This window comes from Homo sapiens, chromosome X (genome assembly GCF_000001405.40).
Source record: "Homo sapiens chromosome X, GRCh38.p14 Primary Assembly".
In the NCBI taxonomy this organism is placed as follows: Eukaryota; Metazoa; Chordata; class Mammalia; order Primates; family Hominidae; genus Homo; species Homo sapiens.
In genome coordinates, this window is record NC_000023.11 from 53476252 (window position 1) to 53498004 (window position 21753).

At 45.8% G+C, this 21753-nt stretch overlaps 1 annotated feature.

The window, feature by feature from the left end:
* Positions 3126-3420: an enhancer, noted in NCBI's record as "tiled region #13191; K562 Activating DNase matched - State 9:DNaseU". NCBI's record gives its function as "activates a minimal TATA promoter and a strong SV40 promoter by Sharpr-MPRA in K562 cells {active_cell/tissue: K562}" and the evidence as "EXISTENCE:reporter gene assay evidence [ECO:0000049][PMID:27701403]".

Genomic DNA, 21753 nt, shown 5'->3' on the forward strand with positions numbered 1-21753 from the left:
CTCAAAGTGCTGGGATTGCAGGCATGAGCCACCGCACCCGGCCCCCTTTCTTATTCTTATATCATGTAATTTAAGATGTATTAACTTTACATCATAGTATTTAAGTTACACACTATCAAGGAAAAGAATAAATGTCACTCAAGGACTTCACATCTTTTGGAGAAGGGGTTAATGCATTTTTCAATTGTGCACAGGATAGTTGCATCATGTCAGGTGGAATTATGACCTTGTTATTGTCTTTATTGGAGATTAAGTATGGTTTAAAGGTATGTGTGTGGGTGTCTCGTTGGCAAGAGATGGATTTGTGATGGTTAATTCTATGTGTCAACTTGTCTAGGCTGCAGGATGCCTAGATACTTGGTCAGACGTGATTCAGAATGTGTCTGTGAGGATGTTTTTGGATGAGATTAACAGTTAAATCAGTAGACTGAGTAAAGAAGATTGCTAGCTCTAATGTGGGGTAGCAACATCCAATCAGTTGAAGGCCTGGATAGAACAAAAAGGCTGACCCCCCACCCCCGCCCGCCAGAAGAAAGACAGAATTCTGCCTGACTGTTTTCTAACTGGGACATTCGCTTTTTCCTGCCTTTGGACTCAAACTGAAACATTGATTCTTCCTGGGTCTCAAGCCTGCTGGCCTTTAAGCTGGAACTACAGCATTGGTTCTCCTGGGTTTCAGGCCTTCAGACTTGGACTGAATACACCATCAGCTCTCTTGGGTTTCCAGCTTGCCAACTCACCCTGCAGATCTTGGGACTTGTCAGCCTTGATGATTGTATGAGCCACTTGCTTATAATAGATCTCCCCCTGTATATGGACATGTATATATCTTTACAAGTTATTGTTTCTGTTTCTGGAGAATCCTAACTAATACAATGGGGAGGTGAACTGGAAGTTGAAGAGGTAGTGGTCAACAAGTGAAAACTTTGAAACTGAGGTTATGGAGAGGCTGCAGCTATTGTTAACCACAAGGTCAATGGTACAACAGTGGTGTGCGTGGCTGAAGTGGAGTGGGCACAGTATCAGTGGAGTAGAGCTCACAGAACAAAGAGACCAGGGTTAGACTCTGGATTTTTTTTCTGAGACCGAGTCTATCTCTGTTGCCCAGGCTGAAGTGCAGTGGTGCGATCTCAGCTCACTGCAACTTTCACCTCCTGGATTCAAATGATTCTCATGCCTCAGCCTCCCGAGTAGCCAGGATTACAGGTGCATGCCACGACGCCTGGATACTTTTTGTATTTTTAGTACAGACAGGGTTTTGCCATGTTTCCCAGGCTGGTCTCAAACTCCTGGGCTCAAGTGATCCACCTGCCTCAGCCTCCCAAAGTGCTGGGATTATAGGCGTGAACCACCACACCCGCCAGACTGTGGATTTTTAATCCCCTACCTTTTTTTTTTTTTTAATAACTGCTCCTTGCGAAGCAGGGCTACCCCACAGGCAGTGTGCCCAGAGTAGCCTTTATTCTTTATTTTTTTTAAAAATAGAGACAAGGTCTTGCTGTGTTGCCCAGGCTGGTCTTGAACTCCTGGACTCAAGCAATCCTCCTGCCTTAGCCTCCCAAAGTTCTGGGATTACAGGTGTGAGTCACTGTGCCTGGCCTTAATCCACTATCAATGTGTATTTTGAAATCACCAAGAGTTCTGGACAAGAGAGGTATTGGAGAGGGTGACAGTGAGCTAGGGATAAACCAAAGGGGAGTGATGAGGGGCTTGGTAGATGACTGTGATGAAGATGAGTAGAAGGCTGTGGAGTCTAATGCTTGTGCCTCAGAGGAGCTGGGGGTGGGGGGTTCCTGAGGAGAGAGGGACCATGGTCTGGGAGGAGTGCATGAAGTGCATGGAGGACACTTATGCCTCTGGAATCACTGTGATGAGAGCTGTGGAAGAGAAAACTGGCCACTGCTTAAGAGTGATGCAGTATTGTCAAGGAAGACCCACTCATGTTCCCATTGGAGCAAGAAGGTGAGCTCAACCTTCAGAGAAGTATCCTTCAGCTCTAGACTAATGGATTCTGCTGATGACTGAGTGTGAGTTCCAGAAGGCAAAGTCTCAGGATATGGGTCAGAAAAGGGCATTTGAAGACTTACATTTCCAACCATGATGGAGTAACAGGGACTGGATTTACTCCCCTGCCTTAAACAACTAAGAAACCAGGTAAAATATGTGAAACAAAGGTTTCCAGACATTAGACAACAGGAAGCATGGGACCATGATCCCATGAGAGAAGAGAAACAACTGAGTGAACCATATGATGGCCTGGAGAGAGTTTCCAGGCGTATGTTGGTTGCGGGGGCGGGGCGGTGAGGAGGACTAAAAAAGAGCCTTGTGGCCTCTCTGAGTTTAGATGACATAGTTAAATGAGTTTCTGGCAGTGACAGCAGCCAGAATACACAGGGCAGCCCAGAGTACCATAGAGGAGAGCGCTGCACACAGAGAGAAAGCTCTGGAGATCTATAGGGGGTTCCTTTCAAGCCTTCAGCTGAATTCTGATCAGCACACATATATGAGGAAACTATCTGAAGTCCAGGTGTTACCAGTGGAGGGTGTTGGCATTTTGAAGAAAGAATTGGGCATTTCGAACAAAGTGGAGTCATCCAGGTTCTTGGCGTTTTGCACAAAGAATTGGACAAAACGCACAAAGCAACGAAAGAATGAAGCCACAAAAGAATGAAGCAGGCTGGGTGTGGTGGCTCACACCTGTAATCTCAACACTTTGGGAGGTCAAGGCGGGTGGATCACAAGGTCAGGAGTTCAAGACCAGCTTGGCCAACATGGTGAAACCCCATCACTACTAAAAATAGAAAAATTAGCCGCCCATGGTGGTGGGCGCCTGTAATCCCAGCTACTCGGGAGGCTGAGGCAGGAGAATTGCTTGAACCTGGGAAGCGGAGGTTGCAGTGAGCCGAGATTGCACCACTGCATTCCAGCCTGGGTGACAGAGCGAGACTCTGTCTCAGGAAAAAAAAGAAAAGAAAAAAAAGAATGAAGCAACAAAAGGAAAGATTTATTGAAACGAAAGTACACTCCAGAGTGGGAGCAAGCTGGAGCAGGCGGCTCAAGAGCACTGGTTACGGAATTTTTGGGGATTTAAATACCCTCTAGAGGTTTCCCATTGGTTACTTGGTTTACACTATGTAAATAGAGTAGTGGCCCACGATCAGTCTGATTGGTCGTGGAAGGTGACCAATCAGAAGCTGAAGTGAATTACAAAGTTACACCCTATGCAAACGTCTGGTTGATTATAGGAGGGGCCCAATCAGAGGCTGAAGTGAAGTTACAAAGTTACACCCCTATGCAAATGAAGACTAGGCCCACAACCAGTCTGATTGGTTGTGGGAGGAGACCAATCAAAGGTACTTTCCTTTCTCATCTGTGATGCAGAAGAAGGGGGTGGGTTGCAAAGGGAGTAGCCTCTGATCTTTTTGTTACTTGGGCCTGGGAAGTTGGGGTTTTCCTTTTGAATTAGTTCTAGGAAGTCAGTGTGAATCGGCCTTAGGTTCCCTGCTTCCAGACCCTATTCTCCTGCCTCGTAGGGAAAGGCCAATGCAAAGGATCAGGAGGAATAATAATCCTCAGAGCCAGGAATACTTTATCTCCACACTAGCCTGAGTGGAGAAACCTCCTAACACATAAGACATTGAGTAGAAAGCTCAGGATGGTATTGCCTCAGTACCAAACTAGCTTTAGACTAAAGGCTATGCAGGTCCTGCCTAAAAAAAACCTTAAAGGCAGACCAAGTGCAGTGGCTCATGCCTATAATCCCAGCACTTTGGGAGGCCAAGTCAGGTGGATCACTTGAGCCCAGGAGTTTGAGACCAGCCTGGGCAACATAGTGAAACCCTGTCTGTACAAAATTACAAAAATTAGCCAGGTGTGGTAGAACATGCCTGTAGTCCCAGCTACTAAGCTCACAGGGGGCTGAGATGGGAGGATCGCTTGAGCCCAGGAGGTTAAGGCTGCAGTGAGCCATGATCACACTGCTGCACTCCAGCCTGGGTGACAGAGTGAGACCCTGTCTCAAAGAAAAAAACAAACAAACAACAAAAAACCTTAAAAACAAGCCTCAAAAAGATCAAATTGATTAATTGTGTCTTAGACCAAAACAAATTTTTTTTTTTTAAGATAGGGTCTCACTCTGTCGCCCAGGCTGGAGTGGCATGATCTCAGCTCACTGCAACCTCCACCTCCCAGGTTCAAGCTATTCTCCTGCCTCAGCCCCCTTAGTAGCCTCCCAAAGTGCAGGGATTACAGGCATGAACCACCATGCCCGGCCAAAAACAAAACAAAAAAATTTTTAAGTACAAAAAAGTCAGCACCCAATAAGGTAATATTGATATGGGAGTGGGGTAGGGAAGTGCTGGGTAGAGAAGGGTGGGTCCCTGGCTAGGGGTCCCACCCTGGGGTTGTGCCCACGGACCTAGGTAAGAACAGGCATTTCTGTTTTTATGCCCAAATGTTGCATTTCCCAAGACCACCCTGGCCTGTCACGCCCCCATCCTGCGCCTATAAAAACCCCGAGACCCTAGGGGGCACAGACACAAACAGCTGGACATCAAGAAGAGCACACCTGCAGAAGAGCACACCAACAGGCACCGGCAGATGCCGGCAGGCCATCAACTGGTGGAATGACACGGAGTTTGGCTGGGGGTTGGAGGAGAGTCTGGCTGCTGGGCGGCCCAACTCCAGGAGAAAACCACCTTCCCACTGTATCCCCCTTCTGGCCTCCCTATCCACCTTGCTGAGAGCTACCACCACTCAATAAAAAACCTTGCACTCTTTCTCCAAGCCCACATGTGATCCGGTTCTTCCAGTACACCAAGGCAAGAACCCTGGGATACAGAAAGCCCTCTGTCCTTGGGATAAGGCAAAGGGTCTAATTGAGCTGATTAACACAAACTGCCTACAGACAGCAAAACTAAAAGAGCATTCTGTAACACATGCCCACTGGGGCTTCAGCTGTAAACATTCACTCCTAGACACTGCCGTGGGGCTGGAGCCCCACAACCTGCCCATCTGCATGCTCCCCCTAGAGGTTTGAGCAGTGGTGCACCAAAGAAGCGAGCCACACCCCGCTCTCACACCCTGCTAAGGGGATAGGGAACTTTTCCCGTTTCAATATTTACATCTGACGCCCAATAAAAAATTATCAAGCATGCAAAGAAACAGGAAAATACAACCCATAATGAGGGGAAAAATAATCCACAGAACATGACCCAGAAATGATCCAGATGATAGAATGAGTAGAAAAAGGACGTGAAAACAGCTGTTATAAATATATTCCATACATTCAAGAAGGTATAGGAGCGGGGAATGGTGGCATGTGCCTGTAGTCCTAGCTACTCGGGAGGCTGAGGCAGGGGGATCATGTGAGCCCAGGAGTTTGAGGCTGCAGTGAGCTGTGATCACAGCTCTGCTGTACTCCAGCCTGGGTGACAGAGTGAGACCCTGTCTCTCTCTCTTAAAAAAAAAAAAGGCATAGGAAAGCATGAGTATGACTGAAATCGAGCACCAAAGGAAGACCCTTCCCTGTTGTCCCTGCACCCACCTTAGTTCAGGGTTGAGATCAGTCCTTGGAGAGAATACGGCTGTGACTCTTTGAATGGCAGAATTTGCTGGAAATCTGCTTGCTGGAACTTGCCAGAAATCCACCATCTAGAGTGCCAGTGAAAGCTGTTCATGGGGAGGTGTCTCACTGGAGGCACTCTGCCACAAAACTACCTGAGGGAGAGTGCCAGGGGATGTTGCTGGCTACTGGGTGCTGTTGGCTGCCCTGCACTACAAAAGCTGGAAAATGGAGAAGCTGTGAGTCCTTCAGGAGCCAGAGGCAAACTGCTACTAACCCATCTGATGGGGAATTCCAGAGGGAGGCTGCTGGCTACTGGGTGCTGCTGGTCACCACACACTGTGGGAGCCAGGCACTGGAGAAGTTGTAGGACTCTGTTGCTATAGAAAGCTGCAGACACTGCAGTAACCTGCAAAGTGGGCACTCCAGCACCGGGAAGCAAAACCTTTTTCCTTCTTGAAATGTCTCTCCAGTGCCCTCTACTGGCAAAGCTTCAGTGCCAGGTGGCAAAGGAAACAAGTAAAGGGACCAGATCTGTTTTCACAGAGCAGGCAGAAGAGTGAATTTGAAGCTGAGAGGTAAAAATTGGTAAGTGGTACAGTCCACCCCTTTGACTTCTTGGCTTTCATGTGCACATATTTGAATTCTTGTACAACAAAACAGCTTGGGCGAGGTGGGAGGATCATTCGAGGCCAGGAGTTTGAGGTTATAGTGAGCTATGATCCCGCCATTGCACTCCAGCTTGGGTGACAGTGCAATACTCTGTCTCAAAAAAAAGAGAATAACACAACTTTACTCCTACCCAACAAGATATAGCTATCCTTCTTACAAGGGAGGAAGTTGTTACCCTTTCACCCAAATGAGAAGACACATCACTTTCTGTATTAATTACTCCTCAAATTTAGCCATGGTCCTGCTGATATCCTAGTACCTAAAGAGTAAATTGTAAAATTACCTTCCAACTTCTTGTATATAAAATAAAAATGGGAAAAAGAGAAAAAGAACATGGCTAGATTATGCAAATAAACACATACATATAACAAGCAGAAGGCAAATGAGGAAAGGTAATATAGTACTCATTTCTGTAATTGATCTCAAGGCTGTAATTGACATCTATGGCTTCCTTCTTCTGTTATTATCCATTCTGCATTTCCCCTGCCTTCATTCAGAACCTCAGATGCTCTTTTCTACCTGAAGGAGTCACCCAAACTTTCATTCTGGAAGGGTCTGAGTACTTGATCATCCTGCCTGTTTTGAGTTACTAGAGTTTAACCTTTTAATGGAGTTTAACCATTAATCTTTACTATGGGGGCCAGGCACGGTGGCTCACACCTGTAATCCCAGCACTTTGGGAGGCCAAGGCAGGCAGATCACCTAAGGTCAAGAGTTTGAGACCAACATGGCAAAACCCCGTTTCTACTAAAAATACAAAAATTAGCCAAGCGTGGTGGCATGCGCCTGTAGTCCCAGCTACTCAGGAGCCTGAGGCAGGATAATCACTTGAACCCGGGAGACGGAAGTTGCAGTGAGCCAAGATCGTGCCACTGTACTCCAGCCTGGGTGACAGAGTAAGGCTCCGTCTCAAAACAAAAAACAAAACAAACAACAACAACAACAATAACAAAACTTTACTATTAGGCATGGAAGTACTAAGAGGCACCCCAGATAATTCTCCGGGTTGCAAACATGGTCCTCTTTGCCTCCCTTGTGTAGCAACAGCTCAACTTCCACTTGGTAATTAGGATCAATCACTCGAGCCAGTAAATTAAGTCTTACCTCATCCCCTTTTTTGGCTTGTGGTTTCATTGGCATAAGGAGCCCAAAATGTCACACATTTTTCACTTTCCAATTCACTGGAATTATTGTTGTGTCCCCTGGAAGAAACAGTCTCCCTTTGAGGACTAAGATCTCCAAACTAGCAAAGCTCAAAATTGCTGAGACAGGAAGCAAAAATTCTGTGAGTAGGTTATTAGTTGTAATAATGAGAGGAGCTACTCCTACTTCTACCCCTTGGTTTCAGGACCCATTTATTCTGGCTATGGGAGAGATAGTGCTGTATAATAGTCTCTAGCTCAAAGTATATATTACATTCCAAAAAATAGTATACCATTGTTTCAAGATGTTATTTCCCAACTGGCATCAAAACCAAGTTTCAGTAAGCCATTTCACCCTTCAAGTAGGCCAGCTACTCTAACATGATGTGGTATGTGGTAAGACCAGTTAATTCCATAGGCATGAGTCCATTGCTGCACTTACTTTGCTGCGAACCAGAAGCAAAGCCGTGCAGAAGAGTCTACAGATGGTAGTGCTGGCACAAGGATTATGGGCAGAGTAGGGAAAACTATATCCAGAAAATACATCTGTTTCTGTGAGACTGAATCTCTGTCCCCCTCCATGATGGAAGACTTCCAATGTAATCAACCTGTCACCAGGTGGTTGGCTGGTCCCCATAGGGAATAGTGCCATATCAGGGACTCAATTTTGGTTGATGCTGTTGGCAGATTAGGCACTCAGCAACCATGCCACCCTTGGTAAGGGGAAGTCCATGTTGTTGAGCCCAGGCATAGTCTCTGTCCCTGCCCATGGCCTATTTCTTTATGGGCCCATTGAGCAAATACTGGAGTGGCTGGTGAAAGAGGCTGATGCACATCAACAGACCACATCATTTTGTCCCCTGGATTCATAACAGTCTCCTATGCAATGTATGCCTTTTGGTGGGCATTCACATAGGACTCAAATATCTTCAGTCTGTCCCCACTCAGAGAAGGCTGGTCACATTTCTCTTCCTCAGACTTCCTTGTCGCCAATCTTTCAATCTTGTTCTTTTCAAGTCCCTAACTACATGTCAGTGTAGATCTATACTTCTGACTATCTCTTACTCCACACATAGTGGACAACTAAACATACTGTTCAGTGTTCTGCCCACTGGAGAGGATCTTCCTTCACCATTGTCATCCAGTCACCCCTGAGTACAGTTGTAGTGCTGCATCTGTCTACTTTTGGATGGTACCAGTATAACATGCAGACCCATATATAAGGTAGGCTTCAGTTTTCCTTCCTCAGTCAAGTGGTCATAGGAACACTCTGTGATATCATAGGCATGGATTGAAGGAGAGGAGGCAAAGCAACAGGAGTTGGTGTCAAAAGAGTCTGAATTATCTGCTCATGCAACTTACTTGTACCTACTGGACCTGCTCAACTTAGTCTTTTATGTACCATTTTCATCCAATAATAGATTGCTGCTATGCATGCCTAAGCTTATGGCTATGTGGGTCAAAGAAGACACCAGTTCATGATGAGAGTCTCAGGCTGTATGGTCACCTAATATCTCATGGTTAGGTGTTTCAATCTCTGCCAAGGCCCAGCAGTAAGCCAGAGCTGTTTCTTGAAAGGAGAATAGTTTTCTGCGAAAGAGAGCACATACTTGCTCTAAAGTCCTAGAGGCTTACCCTGTGATTCTCTCATTGGTGCTTGCTAGAAACTCCATACAATATTCTTATTTGTCACAGACACTTCATGGGATCTGCTGGGTCAAGTGGAAGAGCAGCTTGTATTGCAGTCTGAATTGCAGAGCTTTCTCTTGTCTGGTTCTATTCAAAACTGGGAACCTTGGGTGATTCTATAGATGGATTTGAAGTAGCACACTCAGGCCAGGCATGGTGGCTCAAACCTGTAATTCCAGCACTTTGGGAGGCTGAGTTGGGTGGATCACTTGAGGTCAGGAGTTCAAGACTAGCCTGGCCAACATGGTGAAACTCCGTCTCTACTAAAATACAAAAATTAGCCAGGTGTGGTGGTGGGTGCCTGTAATCCCAGCTACTCGGGAGGCTGAGGCAGGAGAATCGCTTGAACCCAGGAGGTGGAGGTTGCAGTGAGCCGAGATCGCGCCATCACACTCCAGCCTGGGCAACAGAGCAAGACTCCATCTCAAAAAAAAAAAAAATGAAGTAGCACACCCAAATGTTGCCTCCAAGGCTGGGTGTGGTAGCTTATGCCTGCAATTACAGCAGTTTGGGAAGCTGAGGTCGGCAGATCTCTTGAACCCAGCAGTTCGAGACCAGCCTGGGAAACATGGCAAAACCCCATCTCTACAAAAAATAAAAAATAAAAAAGTTAGCCAGGTGTGGTAGCGTGCACCTGTAGTTCCAGCTACTTGGGAGGCTGAGGTGGGAGGATTGCTTGAGCCCAGGTGACGGAGTTTGCAGTGAGCCATGATCATGCCACTGCACTCCAGCCTGTGCGACAGAGTGAGACCCTGTCTCAAAAAAAAAAAAAAAGTTGCCTCCAAAATACAAAGGCCTACCAAGGGTTGTAACTTTTTGTTTGTGGTAGGAGGTGTGAGGTATAGCAACTTGTCTTTCACCTTGGAGGAAATCTTTTGACATTCTTCAGACTATTTAACTCTTAGAAACTTCATTGAGGTGGCAGGCCCCTGAATTTTTGTGAGGTTTATACCCAACTGTATCAGGCAGGGTTCTTCAGAGAAACAGAACCAATAGAATGTGTATATATTTAGAGAGGGATTTATTTTAAGGAATTGGCTCATGTGATTATGGAGGCTGGCATTTTTTCAAGTCCAGACTCTGCAGGGTAGGCTGGCAGCCTGGAGTCCCAAGGAAGAGCTGATGATACAGTTTAAGTTCAAAGGTCTCCTGCTGGCAGAAGTCCTTCTTGCTTGGTGGAGGTCAGTCTTTGTTCTATTATGGCCTTCAACTGATTGGATGTGGCTCACCCAAATTATAGAGGGCAATCTGTTTCACTCAAAGTCCACCAATTTACATATATATATATATATATATATATAAAAATATATATATATATAAAAATATATATATATATATATATATATATATATTTTGAGACAAAGTCTTGCTCTGTTGCTCAGGATGGAGTGCAGTGGTACGATCACAGCTTACTGCAGCCTCCACCTCCCGGGCTCAAGCAGTCTTCCCACCTCAGCCTCCCAAGTAGCTGGGGCTACAAGCATGTGCACTATGCCTGACTAACTTTTTTTGTTTTTGTTTGTTTGTTTGTTTGTGACAGAGTCTCGCTCTGTTGTCCAGGCTGGAGTGCAGTGGCGCAATCTTGGCTCACTGCAAGCTCTGCCTCCTGGGTTCACGCCATTCTCCTGCCTCAGCCTCCTGAGTAGCTAGGACTACAGGCGCCTGCCACCACGCCCAGCTAATTTTTTGTATTTTTAGTAGAGACGGGGTTTCACCATGTTAGCCAGGATGGTCTCGATCTCCTGACCTCGTGATCTGCCCACCTCGGCCTCCCAAAATGCTGGGATTACAGGCATGAGCCACCACACCTGGCCTTGTTTTTGTTTTTTGTAGAGACAAGGTCTCACTATGTTGCCCAGACTTGTCTCGAAGCCCTGGACTCAAGCAATCCTCCCACCTTGACCTCCCAAAGTGCTGGGATTACAGGTATGAGCTACTGTGCCCAGCCCTTTCATTCTTTTTTATTTTATTTATTATTATTATTTTTTGAGACAGAGTCTTGCTTCTTCACCCAGGCTGGAGTGCAATGGTGTGATTTTGGCTCACCGCAACCTCTGCTTCTGGGGTTCAAGCAATTCTCCTGCCTCAGTCTCCCCAGTAGCTGGGATTACAGGCACGTGCCACCACGCCCGGCTAATTTTTGTATTTTTAGTAGAAATGGGGTTTCACCATACTGGCCAGGCTGGTCTAAAATTCCTGACCTCAAGTGATCCGCCTCAGCCTCCCAAAGTGCTGGGATTACAGGCATGAGCCACTGCACCTGTTCCCCTTTCATTCTTAATAAGACGTCTAAACTATTTGCTCCTTTCTGCTCACCAGATCCAATCTACATGTCATCAGTGTAGTGGCCCAGTGTGATGTTTAATTGAGTATCAAGATGAGCCATATCTCTGCCGACTATATCATGGCAGAGAGCAGAATTGACACAGCCCTGAGGCAACACCGTAAAGTTATGCTCTTGTTCTTGCCAGGTAAAAGCAAATGGTTTCTGGTAGTCTTTGAAAATTGGTGCAGAGAAAAGGTCATCAGTCAGGCCAGTACCTGCATACCAAGTGCCAGGGGTTGTGTTGAGTTGTTCCAGTAAATATACTATATCTGGGACAGGAGCTACAAGTGAAGTCAGCATCTAATTAAGTTTATAGTAGTCTGCAGTCATTCTCCAAGATTCATCTAACTTTTGCACTGGTCAAACTGGTGAGTTAAATGGAGATGTGATAGGTGTCACCACCCCTACTTCTTTCAAGTCTTTTCTGGTGCCATTAATCTCTGCATTCCCCTCGGTATGCATTATTGCTTCTGGTTTACTAGCTTTCAAAGGAGTGGATGTTCCAGGGGCTTTGGCTTAGCCGTTCTTACTGTAATGGCCCTCACCCCGTGGATCAGCAAACTGATGTGGGGGTTATGCCAGTTTCTTTTTTTGGGAGTGGGAGGACAGAGTCTGTCTCTGTCACCCAGGCTAGAGTGCAGTGGCACGATCGCAGCTCACTGCAGCCTCAACCTCCTGGGCTCAAGTGACCCTCCCACCTCAGCCTCCTGAGTAGCTGGGGCCACAGGCAGGTGCCACCACACCCAGCTAATTTTTACAATTTTTTTGTAGGGATGGGGTCTTGCTGTGTTACCCAGGCTGGTCTTGGAACTCCTGGGCTCAAGCTATCTTCCCACCTCAGCCTCCCAAAGTGCTGAGATTATAGGTGTGAGCCACCACGCTCATCCAGTTATGCCAGTTTCTAAGTATGTTTATTCCAATGATAAATTCAGGAAGTGGGAAAATAACTATAAGGTGGGCCACTGGACCAACTGGGCCCAATGTGAATCAAACCTGAGCTAAGACTATTACCTGACCACCCTAAAGCCCCTGCTTTGATGGACCACAATGGCATTGTGGGTCCCCAGGAATTAGTGTCAATTCAGAGCCAGTATCTAGTAATTCTCAAAAGTTCTAGGTATTTCCTTTTCCCCAAGGTACAGTCACTCTAGTAAATGGCCACAGGTCCCTTTCAGGAAGGCTTGGAGGAAGATTTACAGTATGTTTGTGTGGCAATGGTGCAGGCTTCTCCCTCAAGAGGACCTGGCTGCCCCTTCAATAAAGGGGCTCTAGACCAGTCTCAGTGGCTCACACCTGTAATCCCAGCACTTTGGGAGGCTGAGGCAGGAGAATCACTTAAGTCTTAAGTCCAGGAGTTTGGGACCAGCCTAGGCAACACAGCGAGACCCCATTTCTAAAAACCATAAAATAAAATAATTTTTTTAAAAAAGAGGGGCTTGCCGGGCGCGGTGGCCCACGCCTGTAATCCCAGCACTTTGGGAGGCTGAGGCGGGTGGATCACGAGGTCAGGAGATCGAGACCATCCTGGCTAACACAGTGAAACCCTGACTCTACTAAAAATACAAAAAATTAGCCGGGCGTGGTGGCGGGCACCTGTAGTTCCAGGTACTCGGGAGGCTGAGGCAGGAGAATGGCATGAACCTGGGAGGCGGAGCTTGCAGTGAGCCAAGATCGCACCACTGCACTCCAGCATGGGCAACAAGGCAAGACTCCGTCTCAAAAAAAAAAAAAAAGAGGGGCTCTTGATCTGTGAATTGACTTCAGTCTGGACACTGAGTGACAGGCTGACTCTCCACTGTGGTGACTTGAGTCAGTTTTTTGGCTACTAGATCTATAACTTTTTCTATCATATAGACTGAACAATATTCTAGTAGGGTATCCATCTGTTTCATGCCCAGGGAAATGGTGGTCAATGTGCCTGAACATCCACGGTGCTGTATTTGGCAGTTAAATGCTGCCACTTGACCTCTGTTACTTTGGTACTCCATGAACCCCACTGAAACCAGGGAGCCCATCCCTTACAGTCATACCTTGCCTACAAAGAAGAGCAGCCATAGAGCTTTCCAAGGATGCAGGTGTTTTTCTCAGTAATGGATTTCTCAATGCCTTGGTGAAGGGAGTGTCTTTCAACCATTTTCATGGAACATAGTTAGGAGTTGTGGGCAAGTCGAACATAATAAATCTCCAACATTCCTATCCCCTTAAGCCTTTGGATTCCCTTTCCCATATCACACCAGGGCAGCTCAGGCTTCTCAACTTAATTAACTGTAGGGCCATAATTGAGTCCAAGCTTCAGGCAATCAACCAAATAAGCTCTTAAAGCTACCTCCAGCTGCATAAGCTGACACTTTAAATACAGAGTCTCTAATAAGTGTACTTATCTCAATGAATTCTGCCCTATCTAGTATTATATTTTGCTCTCCTTTGTCTAATAACCTTGGAAACCACTTCTGCATATATTCCCTATATTTCTGTCAATGTATATTAGCAATCTTACAATGCTTTTGGTGTATAAGCTGCTTCCTCCTTGTTCATAGTGTGCACTTGTTCCCCTGGACCATGCTGAGATTTAACCTTAATTATTGGTCTTGTGGCAATAGGGGGTGGTCGTGGCAGGAAGAGGGGAGAATGGGCATTCCCTTTCAAGGCATCCTCCCCAGGTCAGTTTATCTCAGTGTTTTCAAGGAGAGAAAGACTAGTCTCAGACACTGAAACACTGAAGGACAAGCTATTTCTATTAGTACGGGAGACTCAGAGTGACTTGGTAGTTCAAGATTGTCAGTTTCATCTGAGACCAAACAGATGCCCCTCCAGATCCAAGTTTCAGGATCCCATTCTTTATCTTTCACATGAGAGACTTGTCAAGACTGTGAGTTCAACTTGCACTGCACAATTAAATGTTGTGTTTGATTGTCAGTAGTATCAGCCCATTAGGCATCATGAAAGTTCTCTGGTTCTCAGACTGTGACTTGAGCTGAGAAGTCAATGGACCCCACCTTGTTCTTTTCTTTTCTTTTCTTTTCTTTTCTTTTCTTTTTTTTTTGAGACGGAGTCTCACTCTATCGCTCAGGCTGGAGTGCAGTGGTGCGATCTTGGCTCACTGCAACATCTGCCACCCGAATTCAAGCAATTCTGCCTCAGCCTCCCGAGTAGCTGGGATTACAAGTGGCTGCCACCATGCCAGGCTAATTTTTGTATTTTTAGTAGAGATGGGGTTTCACCATCTTGTCCAGGCTGGTCTTGAACTCCTGACCTCGTGATCCACCCAACTTGGCCTCCCAAAGTGTTGGTATCACAGGCGTGAGCCACTGTGTCTGGCCATCATTTTCTCTTTGTTTTTTTTTTTTTTTGAGACGGAGTCTCGCTCTGTCACCCAGGCTGGAGTGCAGTGGCGTGATCTCTGCTCACTGCAAGCTCCACCTCCTGGGTTCAAGCAGTTCTCCTGCTTCAGCCTCCCGAGTAGCTGGGACTACAGGTGCCCGCCACCACACCCAGCTAATTTTTTGTATTTTTAGTAGAGACGGGGTTTCACCATGTTAGCCAGGATGGTCTTGATCTCCTGACCTTGTGATCCGCCCGCCTCGAACTCCCAAAGTGCTGGGATTACAGGCGTGAGCCACCACGCCTGGCCCATCATTTTCTCTTTGTAAGTGCTCAAGTGCATTCAGAACAATCCATCCCACAACACAGTCCTTATAGTCACGATTGCTGTCATGGTGGTCAAGTGCGGCAGTCATTTGGGCTCCCAAGGCATGTGCTTCAGTTGGCACTTCATCACAATCAACCCTAGGTTAATTAATTGTGATGCCTCTTTATGCCAGGGATTATTAGCATCCATTTCTCATTGGCAAAGAGTTCAGCACTATGCTCAAGCCCAGAGCATGAACAAACCAATCCCCAAGTCCAATCTCTCCAGGTACATTTCCTGGGACCGTTCCTGGCAACAATTCTGTATCAGTCTTAGTCCAGTTAGGAGACAGAATGACACAGGAATTTGAGCAGAGAAAGTTTAATATAAGAATTTACCCCTGGGCTAGGCATGGTGGCTCACACCTGTAATCCCAGCACTTTGAGAGGCTGAGGCAGGTGGATCACTTGAGCTCAGGAGTTTGAAACCAGCCTGGGCAACAGGGCGAAACCCCATCTCTACAAAAAATAAACAACAATGGCTGGGCATGGTGATGCAGGCCTATAGTTCCAGCTACTCGGGAGGCTGAGGCAGGAGGATCACTTGAGTTGAGGATGTTGTGGCTGCAGTGAGCTATGATCGTACCACTGCACTCCAGCCTGTGTGACAGACTGAGACCCTGTCTAAAAAAAAAAAAAAAAAAATTAAAAGAAAAATTACCTCTGTTCTGGTGTAGTTGGGTGGAAAAAAAAAAACCTATAACAGGGATTTAGAATAACAAGGGATTGGCTACTAAGATGTAAGAAGATCTCTAAAGAATACAGGAATAACAGATATAAGGCGTAGTCACCATCCCTAGGCTGAGACAGAACACCGATGAGGCTGAGATCCAGAGCTTGTTGGAAAAACCATGGCTGTAGTTACTGAATGGTAGAGAAGTTCATTGTGGTGCTGCACTGATGGAAGTTGTTGGAAATCTACCCTCTGGAAATCTGTTAGCTATGGTGCTGGGGAAAGCTGTTCGCTGCTGAGTGCTGCTGGTATCTGTCCACTGCAGGAGCCCGGCACTGGGGAAGCTGTGAGTGCTGTGGGATCCAGAGGCACTCTGCTACAAAACTGAGAGTGAGTGCTGGAGGAAGGGGAAAGCTGCTGGTCACTGGGTGCTATTGGCCACCATGCACTGTAGGAACCAGGCACTGGAAAGGCTGTGAGCACTGGAGGAGTTAAAAAAAGCCAGGCAGCGGGAGCCTGCCGAGTGAGCACAGGAATCAGGAAGGAGGCCCCTTTTCCTTTTGCAATATCTCTCCAGCACCCTCTGAGAAAGCTTCAGTGGCAGCTGGCAAAGGAAAAAATAGTTAAAATATGTTCCATTTTCACAGAGCAGACAGAAAGTTGAATTTGAAGTTGAGAGGCAATAAATCAATAACCAGCATATTATGGGTCAAAGAAGAAATCAGAAAGTATTTTGAACTGTATTAAAATGAAAACACAACATACCAAAATTTATGGAATGAAGGAAAAACAAAGTTGGACTGCTTAGAAAAGAATTTATAGCATTAAATTATGATTATTATTTTTTGAGACAGAGTCTCACTCTGTTGCCCAGGCTGGAGTGCAGTGGCGAGATCATAGCTCACTGTAGCCTCGACTTCCTGGGCTCAAGCGATCCTCCCACCTCAGCCTCCCAAGTAACTGGAACCATAGTCATGCACCACAACACCTGGCTAATTTTTTTTTATTTTTGTAGAGACAGGGTCTCACTATGTTGCCCAGGCTAATCTTAAACTCCCAGCATCAAGCAATCTTCCCACCTTGGCCTCCCAAAGTGCTGGGATTACAGGTGTGAGCCACTGTGCCCAGCCTAAATTCTTATATTAGAAAGAAGTGGTCTCAAATCAATGACCTCAGCTTGTACACTAAGAAACTATGATACAAAGAGGAAATTAAACCCGAAGTAAACAGATAAAAGGAAATAATAAAGATAAAGGCTGCTGGGCGCGGTGGCTTATGCCTGTAACCCCAGCACTTTGGGAGGCCGAGGCGGGCAGATCACTTGAGGTAATGAGTTCAAGACCAGACTGGCCAACATGGCAAAACCCCATCTCTACTAAAAATACAAAAATTAGTCGGGCGTGGTGGCAGATGCCTGTAATCCTAGCTACTCGGGAGGGTGAGGCAGGAGAATCCCAAAACAAGAGACTTGTGTTCATAAATTTGACATTGAAGATGAAGTGGATACATTCCTTAAAATATACAAGCTACCAAAGCTCACTCCAGACAAAAGACAACCTGAATAGCCCTGTCTTTAAATAAATTTATTTTGTAGTTAAAAACTTTCCCACAGAGAAAACCCCATTCCCTGGCCAGGTGCAGTGGCTCACGCCTATAATCCCAGCACTTTGGGAAGCTGAGGTGGGAGGATCACTTGAGGCTGGGAGTTTAAGACTAGCCTAGGCAACCAAGCGAGATCCCTGTCTCTACAAAAAGTTTAAAAATTAGCGAGGGCCAGGCACGGTGACTCACCCCTGTAATCCCAGCACTTTGGGAGGCCAAGGCGGACAGATTATGAGGTCAGAAGTTCGAGACCAGCCTGGCCAACATAGTGAAACCCCGTCTCTACTAAAAATACAAAAAAAAAAAAAATTAGCTGGGTATGGTGGCAGGTGCCTGTAATCCCAGCTACTCAGGAGGCTGAGGCAGGAGAGTCGCTTGAACCTGGGAGGTGGAGGTTGCAGTGAGCCGAGATCGCACCATTGCACTCCAGCCTGGTTGACAGTGCGACACTCCATCTAAAAAAAAAAAATAAAAGAAGTTAACCGGGCATGGTGTGGTGGTGTGTGCCTGTAGTCCCAGGGCATGGTGTGGTGGTGTGTGCCTGTAGTCCCAGCTACTTGGGAGGCTGAGGCGGGAGGATTGCTTGAGCCCAGGAGTTCAAGGTTATAATGAGTTATGAGCACGTCACTGCACTCCAGCCTGGGCAACAGAACAAGACCCTGTTTCAAACAAATAAACAAACAAAAGAAAACCCCATGCCCAGATGGCTTCAATGGTGAATTTGACCAAGCAGGAAGAAATAATAGCAGTTGTACACAAACTCTTCCAGAAAATAAAAGAGAAATATATTAATTTTCTGTTGCCGCATAACACATTAAATCAATACCCATTTATTATCTCAGCTTCTGTAGGTTAGAAGTCCCAAACAACAGGTTTTTTTTTTTTTGTTCAAAGTACTACAAAGCTGAAATCAAGGTGTTAGCCAGGCTGAGCTCTTGTTTGCAGGCTCTGAGGAAAAACACACTTCCAAGCTCATTCTTGTTGTTGGTAAAATTCAGTTATTTGCAGTTGTGCAAATGAGGATCCTGTTTCTTTGCTGGCTGTCAGCCAAGGCTGCTCTCATCTCCTAGAGGACACTCACATTTTTTGCCATGGGGCCTCCTGTGTCTTCAGGCCAGCAACAATGTGTGAAATACATTTCATTCTTCTCTCTTTCAGACACAAATTTAAAGGGCTCATGTGATTAGGTCAGGCTCACCCAAATAATCTGTCTATTTTAAGATCAACTGATTTGGGACCTTAGTTACATCTGCAAAATCCCTTAGCAGCAGTAGCTAGATTCGTGTTTAATTAAATAACTAGAGGTGTGCACGTGCACCAGTGGCTGGGAATCTTAGAATTCTGTCTACCACAAGGAGGGAATACTTCCCAACATATTCTATGAGTTCAGCATTACCTTGATCCTGATATCAAAACCAAAGACATCACAAAAAAAAAATTGACAGACCAAATATCTCCCACAAACATAGATATGCAAATTTTTAACAAAATTCGAGTAAATCAAATCCAACACAATTCATAAAAAGGATAATATATGGCCAGGTGCAGTGGCTCACACCTGTAATCCCAACACTTTGGGAGAACGAGGCAGACAGATCACCTGAGGTCAGGAGTTCGAGACCAGCCTGGCCAACGTGGTGAAACCCCGTTTCTACTAAAAATACAAAAAATTAGCCAGGTGTGGTGGTGTGCGCCTGTAATCCCAGCTACTTGGGAGGCTGAGGCATGAGAATCACTTGAACCCGGAAGGCAGAGGTTGCAGTGAGCTGAGATCACGCCATTGCACTCCAGCTTGGGCAACAAGAGGGAAACTCCATTTCAAAAAAAAAAAAAAAGGATAATATATTACAACCAACTGGGGGTTATCCCACGAACATGAGGTTGGTTTGACACATTGACAATCAATCATGCCAGGCGTGGTGGCTCATCCCTGTACTTCCAGCACTTTGGGAGGCTGAGGTGGGTTGGTCACTTGAGCCCAGGAGTTCCAGAGCAGCCTGGCCAACTTGGCAAAACCTCATCTCTACAAAAAATACAAAAAGTTAGCTGGGCCTGGTAGCATGCACTTGTAGTCCCAGCTACTTGGGAGGCTAAGGTAAAAGAATCACCTGAGCCCCTGAGGTCAAGGCTGCAGTGAGCTGAGATCACACCACTGCACTCCAGCCTGGGCAACAGAGTGAGACCCTGTCTCTAAATAAATTAATAAATAATTGAAAAAAGTTAAAGAAAATCAATCAGTGTTATTCAGCATATTAACAGACTATGGAAAAAATATGATCATCTCAATTGATGCTAATAAAGTGTTTGATAAAAGTCAACATCCATTCCTGACTCAATGAAACATAATAAAACTGAACAAAACCAAACTCTTAAAAAATTAGGAATAGAAGAGACCTACCTCAACTTCTGAAAGGGCACTTACATAGAAACTATAGCCAACCTCATTCTTAAGGATAAAAGACATTGTGTTCATCCCAACATCAGAAAAAGATAATAAAAAGATCATTTGATTATCTTTTGCATGTGACATGATTGTCTCTCTACTAAAGAATAAAAAAATAAAAAATTAACTGCTTTCATGAGAGACAGGACCAGAATTTAAAACTATTCAATCCCACTGGGACCATCTGTTTTCTGTCGTCAACACACTGCAGCTAAAGCTATACAATGTTAAAACACCCTCCATCTAGGCCCAGGGACTATCACGGAAGAGATGGGCATGTGAGATTATAAGGGCTGGTTTTGAGGGATGCAATTAGTTCAGACCCTCCAAATCAAGGAAAGACACACAGATGCTTAAACAGCTGACAAACTGAGGAACTTTGCCTCTCTAAATTTCTTAACTCAAATGAGTTTAACAAAATATTAATGTTTTATATACCTAATTACTAAAAGTCAATAGCTAAGACCAGGATTCAATTCTATAAACTTACCTTTTTTTTTTTTTTTTGGACAGGGTCTCTCTCTGTTGCCCAGAATGGAGTGCAGTGGCAGGATCTTGGCTTATGGCTCACTGCAGCCTCGACTTCTTGGGCTCAAGCCATCCTCTCGCCTCAGCCTCCCGAGTAGCTGGGACTACAGGTGTGTACCACCACACACAGCTAATTTTTGTATTTTCTGTAGAGATGGGGTTTCACCATGTTGCCACGCTGGTCTGGAACTCCTGAGCTCAAGTGATCTGCCCACCTTTGTCTCCCAAAGTGCTGGGATTGTAGGTGTGAGCCACTGCACCTGGCCACCTTATTTTTTTGGCTTTTGGCTTTTGACAGATATTACTTAAAAGGTTTTAAGGGTTAATGAATGTCTGCCCACCTCCACTCCCATCTGCCCTAAAACATTTAATTGGCTATCATTCTTTTGGCTCTAAGTCCCTTGGCCACAGGGGTCTTACCAAGGGACAAGGTGGACTCAGGCTAGGTAGCTGCACCACCCTAACGATGATATGGGACAAAATTAAAAATTTGGCTATCAGTGCTGCCTCTGACAAATCTTGGCCACAAAAGGGGAAATGTAAATGAAAAATAAAACCCTAAGTCCCCTCAGCCAATGGAATGGACCCTCTTTTAGCTGAGGACTCCCCCAAAAGCTTAAAACTGAGTTCCAGTCATAATAGGACAGGAGGTCAGACACACCTCATTATACCCCCTCTCTTTTATGGTTTAGACACAACAGCTGACCAGCATTAATGTTAAGATCTCTAGAGATCAGATCATAAAACTGACAAAACAGGCTCTGTCAAATAAAATCTCATGGCTACCCCAAGGTTTTCAGTCTGTTTTACAAGGACTTTTAAAATCTGGGCTCCCATGCAGTGGCTCACACCTGTAATCCCAGCACTATGGGAGGCCAAAGCAGGCGGATCACCTGAGGTCAGGAGTTTGAGACCAGCCTGGCCAACATGATGAAACCCCATCTCTAGTAAAAATGCCAAAATTAGCCTGGCGTGGTGGTGTAAGCCTGTAATCCCAGCTACGCGGGAAGTTGAGGCAGGAGGAACCCTTGAACCCTGGAGGCAGAGGTTGCAGTGAACGGAGATCAAGCCATGCACTCCAGCCTGGCGACAGAGTGAGAGTCTGTCTCAAAAAAAGACTGGGGGCAGTGGCTCATGCCTGTAATAACAGCACTTTGGGAGGCTGAGGCGGGTGAATCACCTGAGGTCAGGAGTTTGAGACTAGCCTGGCCAACATGGTGAAACCCCGTCTCTACTAAAATTACAAAAATTAGCTGGGCGTGGTGGCAGGCACCTGTAATCCCAGCTACTCGGGAGGCTGAAGCAGGATAATTGCTTGAACCCAGGAGGCAGAGGTTGCAGTGAGCCAAGACTACACCACTGCACTCCAGCCTGGGTGACAAGAGCGAAACTCCATTTCAAAAAAAAAAAAAAGAAAGAAAAAAAAAT